General features: G+C 43.0%; 1 protein-coding gene, 1 long non-coding RNA gene and 1 pseudogene across 11 annotated transcripts in view, besides 1 other annotated feature; 1 reads left to right on the forward strand and 2 right to left on the reverse strand.

The window, feature by feature from the left end:
* On the reverse strand, positions 751-985 carry RN7SKP144 (RN7SK pseudogene 144; annotated as a pseudogene).
* Positions 6,596-7,203: an enhancer, noted in NCBI's record as "NANOG hESC enhancer chr3:2136506-2137113 (GRCh37/hg19 assembly coordinates)". NCBI's record gives its function as "activates a minimal SCP1, AML or CMV promoter by ChIP-STARR-seq in primed H9 embryonic stem cells {active_cell/tissue: H9 hESC(primed)}" and the evidence as "EXISTENCE:reporter gene assay evidence [ECO:0000049][PMID:30033119]".
* LOC124909338 (uncharacterized) lies at positions 9,355-10,029 on the reverse strand. The gene is made up of 2 exons (XR_007095785.1): positions 9,921-10,029; positions 9,355-9,732 (listed from the first exon to the last, which is right to left on the reverse strand). It is a non-coding gene; the product is annotated as an uncharacterized LOC124909338 (long non-coding RNA).
* CNTN4 (contactin 4) overlaps positions 10,640-12,089 on the forward strand; it is a 959,094-nt gene continuing 957,644 nt past the window's right edge. For 5 of the 10 annotated variants that reach the window (NM_175607.3, XM_017005785.2, XM_017005782.2 and 2 more), the window contains exon 1: positions 10,640-10,752. The gene's annotated coding sequence lies outside the window, so the exon portion shown is untranslated. Of the gene's footprint in view, positions 10,753-11,047; positions 11,939-12,089 lie in introns of those variants that run through there. The other 5 variants (NM_001350095.2, XM_047447536.1, XM_017005783.2 and 2 more) reach the window with 4 other exon arrangements.

Raw genomic sequence — 12,089 nt, forward strand, 5'->3', positions numbered from 1 at the left:
CACTTTCCTATATGTGTTTATTTCACAATTTAAAAAGTTAAACACACACACGCACACAAACATGCCCAAACAACCTACCTACCCTATAGGGGTCTTAAAAAGATAAATTGATACAGAGTATATAAAGATTAAACTTATCATCTGACACATCAAAAACACTAAATAAATGTATATTTGCTATTACTATCATTATTAGTTTTCTGTATCTTGAGCAATTCAAATAAAAATATCAATAATAATTGTTAACTTTACAAAATTAGTCTAATATTTATTCCAAAGAATCAATTGACAAAAATAGCCAATAATTTACAGTGAAAGAAGAATCAAAAGGTTTCTTGTCCTAACAAATATTTTAAATATATATATATAATTAGTAAACATGACACTAACATATGTCTACAAGAATATAATAACTTGGATATATATTAAATGCATGTTATATTTTATCAAATAAGAAATTAGCATTTCAGATTCGTTGAAAAGCAAATTACTTAGAAAAATAGAATATACATGACTTGATGTCGTTTTAATTTCAGCAGCAAATGCCTTGTTACCTGATCCCCCAACCCCTCTCTTGCCCTTACTACTGTCTCATCAGTTTGCTCTCACGGTACTTTAATGAGAGTAATGTGACTCTCAACTTATTCGCAAGACTCTTTTCTTTGAAGAGTTAAGTCACCCGTTTATTTCATACTTATTCCTCCTCAAAGCAGGATTTTTAAGTAAAATGTTTCCAGGCAAGTGCTATTTCTTGAGAGCTTGTTTGGAGGTTCTAGCAGGGGAATGCAGCTACTCGTATACCCTTGACGGAAGACCGGTCCTCCTCTACGTGGTATGGTCATCCTCTTCCACCAAGTGCACAGCTTCTGGAGGGACACACATGGAGCCGTGAGGAAGGGGACACCCGCCTAGCCAGCCATATCAGCTGAATCAACCCTGGTGATAATGGGGTGACAGATGTTGCAACCAGATTGCCCTCACATCCGCAAGTGCTATTTCTTGAAGTTATTCCTTTTAGTATCTTGTGTTCCTTTTAATTAGCACTTTTTTCATAAAATTCAAAAACACCTTTATTTCTTTTGCAAAAGTAGAATTGATATTGTTATGGCTAAACCACCATATACAATGATATTGGTACAACCAGTTAATTGCTTAGTTAAAAAAAAACAAAAATCACCAATAAAGCAAAAGTTATTGCCAGAAGAATTAAAGATGACTATTTAAAAAATAAAAGCATAAATATGGTAGGAGAAAAGATAAGTGGCTATTTATGCTCCTTGAATTGAGAATAGTTTTTTTGGTAACAGCTCTGTTAAGATAAAACACACACCACACACACGGTTTTTAGTATATTCTCAAGGTTGTGCAACCATCACTAAAATCAATTGCAGAATTCTTTCATCACTCAAAATAAAACTTGTACCCTTCAGCTATCATTCTCCTAGCTCCTTGTCTTCCCCAAACCCCCAGCCGTAAGTGACCACTAATCTACTTTCTGTCTCAGATTTCCCTGTTCTGGATATTTTATATAAATGGAATCATGTAAGATGTGGTCTTTTTACTGCCTTATTTGAGTTAGCATAAAGTTTTCAAGGTTCAGACACATTGTATCATGTATCATTAATTTATTACTTTTTATAGCCAAATAATATTCCATGGTATGAATATGCCATACTTATTCATCATTTGATGGATATTGGGGTTGCTTCTACTTTTTGGCTATTGTGAATAATGTTGCTTTGAATATTATGTACAAGTTTCATTTTGGTTACTCTACTTTTAAACTCCAGAAAAATCACTGGTTGTTTTGAAAATAATTTCTATCACTTTATGGACATTCTCTATTTGTTTTTGTTGGTGGGGTTCTTTTTTGTTTTTGAAACAGGGTCTTGCTCTGTTATCCAGGCTGGAGTGCAGTGGGACGGACCATCATGGCTCACTGAAGCCTTGACCTCCCAGGCTCAGGTGATCCTCCCACCTCAGCCTCCCGAGTAGCTAGGACTACAGGCGCGCCACCAACCCTGGCTAATTTTTTATGTTTATTTTTAGTTTTTACTTTTGTACTGATAGTGGTCTCACTGTATTGCTCAGGCTGGTCTTGAACTCCTGGGCTCAGCAATCCTTCCACCTCAGCCTCCCAAAGTGCTGGGATATCAGGTGTGAGCCACATTCTGATATGAATGTCAAATACAGCTGACATTCTGTATTTGAAGCAACATGGTTATCATGTCTTCTTTTACTTTTTTAATCATTCTTTCCTTTAGTTCTGTGAACATATTTATAATAGTTACTTTGAAGGTTTTCTTTTCTTTTTTCTGCTGAATCTGACATCTGGTTTCTCTCACAGGTAGTTTCTGTTGCCTGCTTTTATTTTTCTCTTGTATGAGTCACACTTTCCTGTTTCTTTGCGTGTCTCATAATTTGTTGTTGAAAACTTAATTTTAGATAATATATTGTTACAACTCTGGAGGGCCCCCTTCTGCCTCACATGTTTATTGTAGTTTGCATGTTTAGTTGTATAGTCACTTGCTGGGCTGTTAGAATAGGGTCTATTTCCCTCACAGTATGAAGACTCTGATTTTGCTCCTCAGAGGGTGCAGGCTGACATGTGCACAGTCAGCCTCCAATACAGTGCTTTTAGAAGGGCTGTCTTCCAGGCTCTTTTTCCATGATCATACCCAGCTGTTAAGCTCTACTAATTCCCAACTGATTGATCTATTGTTTATACAATGCCCTGGAGCATAAATTGCTCCCTAGACTGAAAACAATTCAATTAAACTTGGGTTCCTTTATGGGGTAATTTTGAGATGAATGTCTGAGGTTTGCTTGGACCCAAAGAAGGCTCTTCTTAGCTCTCTTTTTTTTCTCTCATAAGCTTACTGGTTTGTGGTTTAACTTAAATCCCTCATGAAGGTACCATCCTCTTCCTAATTGCTTTCTACCAAAACCTCCTTTGATTTTGAGATCCTTAAAATTGAACTTCTCTACACTCCGTTGAAAGTCAAGTCAGTTTTTTTGTTTATTTTTTTGTTTTCTTATGGCCTATCTCTTCCCCTGGACCAAATCTCTGAGCCATGGCTTTGGAATTAGTTGTGGGGACAGTCATATGCTTCTCTCTGATGACAACCTAGATTTAGAAGGAATCTTGGTGGGGGCAGCAGCCTCTGGTATTCTAGGCGTACCTCTTGACACAGAACCTTCTCCTTACAAATTAGCTATGTTTAGGGCAATTGGCTAGAAAGAATCTCCCTGTTCTATGAATGAGGGCTGAGTGAAAGAAGGTAGCCTTGACCTCCTGGCCACACTCTCCTGATATTTAGCCTCTGCAACAGGTAATTGTGGGGAGGACAGGAAATGCTAAAGGCATGTCCTTCCCAGAAAGATGCCACATTCCCTTTACTGGGTTCTGGGGTTGCCTGGGGAGTGAAGGGTACTACTATGTTATTGGCTGTGCTCACCTGGAGTGGAGTTTCTGCCGTGCTGAGCTGGCAGGGAGAAGGTTGTGGAACAAATGCCACAGACTCTCACCGTTCTTGATGAGTTTTACTAGATTTTCTTGAATAAATATTTCTTCATTGATATATATGTCCTTAAAACCACTTCCAGAGTTTTTAAATGTGTGTGTGTTTAAATAATTTTCACCTCCACTTAGCTTGTTTTCCTTGGGAGTGGGTCCACTGGACTCCTTACATTTTGATTCCATATGTCAGAACCCAAGAATATACTTTAAATATATGACACCAAAGATAGAAATGTAAAGAAAAACTACTAAATTGATTATATAAAAATGTAAAAAATCTTTCTCTCTCTCTCTCTTTCTTTCTTCTTTTCTCTTGAGATGGAGTCTCGCTCTGTTGTCCAGGCTGGAGTGCAATGGCATGATCTCGGCTCACTGCAACCTCCACCTCCCGGGTTCAAGAGATTCTCCTGTCTCAGCTTCCTGAGTAGCTGGGATTACAGGTGCCTACCACCGCACCCAGCTAATTTTTGTATATTTAGTAGAGAAGGGGGTTTCGCCATGTTGGCCAGGCTGGTTTCAAACTCCTGACCTCAGGTGATCCACCTGCCTCAGCCTCCCAAAGTGCTGGGAGTACAGATTTCTAAAGTTAAAAGGCAAATAGAAAGAAATATTTTCAACGGATAAAAGTTTACTACCTTAAATATTCTGAAATCTTTGACTAATCTCTAGGATAAAGATGAAAACTCAAATAAATGAATAAGGAACACAGAGGCAATTCATAAAATGCATATAACACATAAACATAAAAAAATCTTTAACCTCACTAGAATTTTTTAAAAAAGGAAAACAAGAAACACTTTATGTCCACAAATTAGAAAATATATAAATAAACTTACAATACTCAGCAAAGAACTGAAAAAATACACTATGATGAGAGAGTAAATTGACACAAACTTTGGCGAAATGAATAAATATCATATTAAAAACATATATAACCTTTCCATGTTGCATTTAATTTATTTAAAGACGGTATATATAGTGTGATGTATGGCTGATGGCTGTGTGCGTGCATGTGTTTTCGTGTGTATTGTTTTTAACCTGTAAGGGTACTGCTGTTAACATTTGCAGAGCCCTAATCAGGAATACATATTGCAGAGGGCAGGTAGCATCTGTAAACGTCTTATCTGAAACTCTCTTGAGATTCAATTAACAGCATTTACTATCAACAATACAAGCCTTGCTAATTGGCACAATTGAACATAGCAATGATTATTATCACTGGTGAATGATTATTTTCTCTGGTGAAAAGATTGGTGTTTAAGATATGGGTCTGGCTAGAAATACTGCACAGTGAGTTTTGCCCTTGCATAGCACAGAAGGAAAATCTGGTGAGCCGAATAACTTATAATCTTAGGAATGATGTTTTGTGATTTTGATTCCGATCAGTTCTGTGTTGAGCAGTTTTCAGAGGATTTTTTTGCCTGACTCCAAGTAAGACTTTAATTGAATCCTGCCCTTGCAATATTGTCGCATTTGCCTCTGGTGAATCTTTGATTCAAAAGGCTATTGGAGAAACTGTAAGGACAGAGGAGTTGGGACTTTATTGAGCTTACAGTTTGAATAGCTGCTTTTTAATGTCTGCTATGTTGTTATGTGTGCAGAATTTAGCCTTGAATTATCTCTTCTTACAATTTACTACATTATTTTGAGGGTGATGAGGATGAGGCCTAGAGCCCTCATTACCTCTAATTGTTGATCATGGATATCTACCAGAAAGAATCTAATAATTATGAATGAGGAAAGTCACAAGACTTTTTGATATGGTTTGACTCCCTGTCTGCACCCATAATTCTCATGTGTTGCGGGAGCTGCCCAGTGGGAGACAATCGAATCACGGAGGCAGGTCTTTCCCATGCTGTTCTTGTGATAGTGAATGTGTCTCACCAGATCTGATGGTTTTGAAAACCAGAGTTTCTCTGCACAAGCTCTCTCCTGTCTTTGCTGCCCTCCATGTAAGATGTGACTTGCTCCTCCTTGCCTTCCGCCATGCTTGTGAGGCTTCCCAAGCCACGTGGAACTGTGAGTCCAATTAAACCTCTTTCTTTTGTAAATTACCCAGTCTCTGGTATGTCTTTATTAGAAGTGTGAAAATGGACTAATACCCTTTCTGACCTAGTAGATCAAGTTCTGGGAATTTATTCTGAGTTAATAATTTAAAATGTGTGTAAAATTTAACATCAGTGTATTTATCAATGAGTTATTTATCATAGCAGAACACAAACAACTTGAATGCTCAACAATAGAGAACTGATTATCTGTAGTATATTCTGAAATGGAATATTAAGCAGCTTTTAAAAGTGAGGGGATATATAACTATTGAATGATAGAGAAAAGTTCAGGACACATTGAATATGAAGAAACTGATATTAAAAACATGAACAAAATGAAAATATTTAAGAAAATATGTAATTACAGTTATGTGAATACAATGTAAATTGTTTAGGATAAGATGAAAAGATAAATGATTTGATGAATTCTGTATAAATTGAATGTCTCTAAATTGAATCGCATACCATATGGGCGGATGTGGCCGTTTAAAGGAGACATTTGGTACAGTTGACCCTCATTATTCACAGATAACATATTTGTGAATTTGCCCACTTACTGAAATTTACTTATAACTCCAAAGTCAATACTTAAGGCACTTGAGTAGACACTTGTAGACGCACAGAGGTATTTGTAGATGCACAGAGAATAAAAATTGTAGTTGCCCAATGCACACATTCCCAGCTTAGATCAAACAAAGTGATGCTCTGTGTTCTTGTTTCAGCTCTCATATTCTAAAAAAGTCTCCTTTTTGCAGTATATTTAGTGCATGTTTCTCAAATTTTGGGTTTTTCTGTTGGTGATTTTGCTGCTTAAAATGGCCTCGAGCACAGTGCTGGAGTGCTGTCTAGCATTCCTAAGCAAAAGAAAGCTGTGATGTGCCTCACAGAGAAAATACATGTGTTAGATAAGTTTTGTTCAGGCAAGAATTACAGTGCTGCAGGCCATGAGTTCTATGTTAATGAATCAACAGTATATATTAAAGAAGGTATCTTTATCAGTTGATGAAAATCTTGTTACCAGAGGCTGTCAGGAACATAACCCTTTATTGTCTCCAGTGTTTGCAGTGACTTTATAGAACATAATTACTGAGGACATCAGAAATCAACTATAAATACTTTTGCAACTAATAGACCTTTGGAACAATTATTTTTGGATTTTGTATAAAGAATCCAAAAAAATCTGGAAAACGTGTGGCTAAGAAAACAGTTGATTGGTCCCTAATTCCACCTTATTATGTTTAAATTCAGTGGGTGTCTCACAGCCACGTTTATAAAGGAATCTTGGCTGGGGTGTCAGGTTTCTAGTTTACTTTGACTCTATCTGTCAGTCTGTGTCCAACCTTCATGGCAATTAACTGTGCTTTTGTGTGCTAATTATCATTATCCCAGTATGGGCCCATTATTAGTCCAATGTCCTTAGTTTAAAGCTTAAGTGTCAATCAGTCACCTAAAACAATTGCATAGAAGGAAGCTTTGCAAGGCTGGTTTGAAAGTCCTTAGCTGAGTTCTACTTTATTATACTCCAGTTCGAAACTGAACACAAAGCTCTTCTTGATACAATTGTTTATTTAAATACTGATTTATCTACTTAATTAAAGCAAACTTGAGTTTATATTTTAAAATCAGGGATGGGATAATTGCTACTTTATGCTTGAAGATCTATTCAGGTAGCTATACATTAAACAAGTAAAACCGTAATTATAAAACCTGCACATTTTTATCTGATTGAGTCGCTCCTGCCATTGAACGACCTTATTCAAGTCATTTAGAACAAAGAAAGGTGGCATATATGAGTTTTTTAAAATCCCACTGGATGCCAGGAGTAAGGAGAAAATAGCATCAAATCAGATGTGGTCAGAAAAGAGGTATTTCTTTTCCTGTGATGCTTTTCCTCTTTCCTCCTCTTACAGTAAATCCCCACTTATCAAATCTTCAGATGTGTAGAGAAGGAATAAGGCAGGGGTAATGGGGGAGTGGGACAGAGAGATGCCCTTTCTGGAGTTTGCACAACGGTTGCATGCTGAGTAAAACCTGATGATGTATTCCATTCATGTCTCCAAAAAGTCAAAAGCGGTTTCAGCGTTGATTTCCCTTAAGAGTTATCAGTCCTCATTCAATTGGTTTAATGAGTGTAAGAGGTGACCTTGTGTCTATGTAGATACTCCCATATTAAAAGACCTGGATGTAAAACTTCACATATGTGTAAATAGTTATTTTGGAGGGTGTTGTGAGGGTTATTGCAGCTCTCTGCTCAGCTGCTACTCAGGCTAAACGGGCAGGAGAAATTTTCCACTGTGTTAGAATGATGATTATTTGCAAATTACATGAGCACCAGTAATTCATTCATGCAATGATACAGAGCTGGGTCTCAGTGCAGTGGTATTGAACTTGCTGCTGGGGGCGTTAATTGATTCGTTTGGAACATTCCCCTCCAGAGAATCCCAATCACAGGTCCCCTGATCAAGAAACGGACACGCAGTCGGGGTCCTGGATATGTAGAGACACACGTGTGAGGCTGTTGTCATCAAAATAAACCATTTCTGTCCCCTGACAGGGGTTGAGTCTATTAGGAACACTCCCCAATCCTGGGAGCTTCCGCAAGAGGCTTTCTATCTTGGCAGAGGTGGCAGCTGAGCATCGCTTCTTTGCTGCAGGATGGAAAAAAGGGACTGGATTATTGGCTGCATTTTAAACTAGCTGCTGTTCTAGAGAAAATGTTGGGGAGGGACTGAACAAGCTTAGCACTGGATCAGTGTGGGGGTGTGTTGGTGAAAAGAAAAAATGCCTCCTCCTAACTTAACGTTTAACTGATATCCCCTCAACACGACCCAAATCTGTCTCTCCAGATACACAATGTCTGTTTTCCTAACTACATGGTGAACTGTGGAGCAAGTCTTGGTCATGTTTAGTTTGTTTCCCAGAATCTACTAGAAGACAATGCCTAGCATATAGCAGGCACAGAATAAGGGCCAAAGGGGAGAATGGAAACAAAATATGTACATTTGAAATTTAGAAACACAGTTAAGGGACTTTGCCTGAAATTGTCATAAAACTTTGAAAATTGCTTCAATGTATAGTCCCAGTGGGAGAATGTGACAGCATATTTTATTCTTTGTTCTTTTCTGAAATTCTGTGTCCAGTCTAAAACACGACATTTCCCTTTAATGTGTTAGGAGTATGCATGACTACACAGGAATATTTTCTGGAGAACTTCTGGTGAAGCATATTTTGATAAACAGTCTTACTAAAAGTTATATATATGTACTTTTAATTGACTAGTTGCAGAGAAATAATCAATGTAAAAAAAAATCATACATAGTACAGGTAGTAAAAGTCACAGTTCCGGCAGAAGCACAAAAGCCTTCAAAGTGAGTGGGAACCTGGGAACCATTGATCCTCAGTGGCTGTTTACCATGGAAAACACCTGCATCACCAACATTCCAGTTTTGCAAAAGTACCTCTATTACAGACACATACCAGGCAAGGAGGGAGGAAAAAGCCTGAAAATTTCTCTCCAAGTTTAAGTAATCAGGAAACTTTGGTGGGGAGGTTGGGGTGGGGTGGGGGCGGGGGGGTAACTTCTTTATTTAGCATTAATCTCAGCAATCATGAAAGTCATGGAATTTCAAGTGATGAAAAATTTGACCACAACAATACCTATCACTAGCCTGGTTTTGCCCACTTCTCGAACAGGAATTATAAAGATAATAATTAATTCTAAAAAGCAGAAGACAAAACAAACAAACCAAACCAACACTGAATGAACTAATAAGGCTGCTGCATATATATGTTGGAGTTGGATGTTTATTTGCTTACTGCAGTAGTTTAAAAATAGTTTTCCAGTTAACATCTTTTCCACATAGTGGAGATGTCAGGGTAGGTTTACATGATTGCGTAAATGGTCAGAAGTTGTTTATGTAGCTCTGAACTGCTGAGAGATGAGCAGGAAGACCTGGGTTCAGCAAAACCCTTGGGGCTTTTTCCCAGAGAGAGAAACAGAGGCTCCTCTCTGGGTTGCTGGAATGCTTTCCAGACGAATTCGACTGGGTTGGCTTTTCTCTGCCTGTCAAAGTCACTTTGCACAGTGCTGGTGAGGGGCTGGGGCATTGCTGCCAATCTCTACGGTTACCCCGAGGTGTGGAGTTGCGGCGAAGGGAGCCACTTCTGCAAGGAAACAGTAGATTCATAATGTAGAATGACCGTGGCAACGTCGTTCAAAGCACATTCTTTCGAATAACAAGGCTTTCGACATGCCCCACCCCCGCGCACAACACACCACAAATTGATCCTTGTACCTAATTTACAGCAACTGTTCCCTCTGACCTCCCCCCGCCCCCGCCCCACATTCCAACCTGAAAGCACTTTGCGTGGATGAGACTTCAGGTGTGTAACGCAGCCTGTCCAGCCAGTGTCCTCCGCCTAAGGACAGGCAGGTAAAAACCTACCAAAGCCCCCTCTTCTGGCCTAAGTTCAATGCCACCCGCCCACCCACATTCCCCGGTTCAGCAATTTTCAGCCCAGACGCAGAAGCATCTGTTTCCCTGGCCAGGGCGCCTTAACGATCCCCCGAATTCCGCGTCTCCCGGAGGCCAGAGGTTTGGGTACCCAGGAAGGTCGCGCCTCCTCGTGCCCCGATACTCGGGTTGTAAAGGGAGGAGACATCGCCTCGGCGCATCCCTGGCCGCTGAACAACGCAACCCCTACGTCCCCGCACGGGAATCCGGCTGATAATCTCCTCTTGCCTGAGAATCGGGCCAGGCGCCCTTTACTAATTTCGCGCGCTGGGGACCTGGGGCTGCCGCCTCTCGGCCGCGCGGGGCAGGTGCTGCGTCCCCAGCGCTCGCCTCCTCCGGCCGCGCACTGAGCATGCGCGGGCTCCGGGCCTCCGGCGCGTCTCCCCGTCCCCGCTCGTCTCCCGCCCGTTCCCACCCGCCCGCGCCTCTCCCCTTCCCCGAGCGTCTCCCCCGCCCCGCGGCTAAGGAGCCGGCAGCCCGAACTCCGGCGCGCCAGGTTTTTCCAGCCGCCGCGAGCGCCGGGAGGGAGGGCAGCGCCGCGCCAGACGGAGCCCGGGGTTCGACGCCAGGATTGGCTGCAAGTAGGGAGCTTTCGCCGCCGCCCCGGGCCCCTCGGACTGTGCCGGCGCCGCACCCGAGGCTCTCGCCAGCCCGGCGCCCCGGTGCTGAGGTAAGTGAGGCGGCAGCTGTGCGGGTCCGGCTCCTGCGTGGGCGCGCGATGCCCCGGGGACGCGGTCGCGGGTGTGGGGGGGAAAGGGCAGGGTCCGCGCGGGTTGCCCGAAGGACAGGGGCGCTTCCCGGGGCTCTGACTCCCGCGGGGCCGGGCAGCGTCTGCGGGGCCGTCCAGCTCAGAGCCCGGAAGCCCTGCAGGGTCGGGGAGCGGGAGCTGAACGCCTGAGCGCGGAGGACTCAGGGCCCCGACGACGCCACCGTCACCCCACAGCGACCCTTCTTCTCCTTCTCAGCCGGAAAATAAGTTTGTTGCGCTGCGAGGCAGCCACAAAACAAGGAACCGAGAGCCCGGAATGCTGCGGGAAGCCTTCAAGTCAGCTCCTCCGACTGGTTCGGGCTACTGCCCCCTCTCCGTGCGCCCTGGCCTCTGGCGCCGGGTTCCCGGCGGGGCTTTTCTTCTGACAGCCCAGTCACAGCCCGCAGCAGAGGGACGCGAACCTGGGGAGTGGAGGGACCTGGGACTAAAGGAACAGGAGCCCGTAGCCGTGGTGGAAGGAGCCGCGTGGAGACGGAGGCTGATGTCTGTGGCGCCCGCTGGGTGCCGGGCTGGCTGCTGAGCGCTGAGGCTGCGGCGGCGAGCGACAGGCCAGGTGCCTGCTCTTAGGGAAGGTACCTGGCTTCCCCAGTCTCTGCCGCGGGAGCCTGTTGGGTGGCATTCGTTTCCAGCAACTTCTGGGGGGTTTCCAGTTTCTTTCGAGAGGCAAGACAACCGCCCCGTCCCCTCCCCGGGCCCAGACGGCGGCGAACTGTGCGCCGGGCGCCCCACAGACCCCAATCCACTCACTCTCCTTCTGGAACGCGGGGCTCAAAATCTTCGTGCATTTTCTCTCTTGTGCTTCGTGTATATGTTTTACTATTTATGAAGGGTGTGGAGGTGAGGGTAGGAGGACGTGGGCTCCTGAATCCCTCTGAACCAGCCAGAGAGTCGGCTGCATGGAAACATTTCGCAGCGAAGCTCCTGCGAGGAGGCGGCTTCGCGCGTCGGGAAGATCAGGCGGTTGCTTGCTGGCCAGGGTCTGCAGATTCGGTGCGAAGAAGCTGGCGGAGGTTGTGTAGGGCGAGTCAGTGTGACTGAGCACCCTGGGTGTGTGGTCTGCGTGGAGGAGAGTGGGCCGGATCTTGAGGTGTGTTGGAGGTTTATTTGTAAGAGGAGTTCCTGAAAGGAATGTCGTGGAACTTTTTCTAGTTTTCCTGCTGGAATCAACATAGGGGCGGGCACATGTTTGTCAGAATAACAGTGGCATTTAACTGCATGGGAAGCTCTTTCAATTTTCT

This window comes from Homo sapiens, chromosome 3, assembly GCF_000001405.40.
Source record: "Homo sapiens chromosome 3, GRCh38.p14 Primary Assembly".
Taxonomy (NCBI): domain Eukaryota; kingdom Metazoa; phylum Chordata; class Mammalia; order Primates; family Hominidae; genus Homo; species Homo sapiens.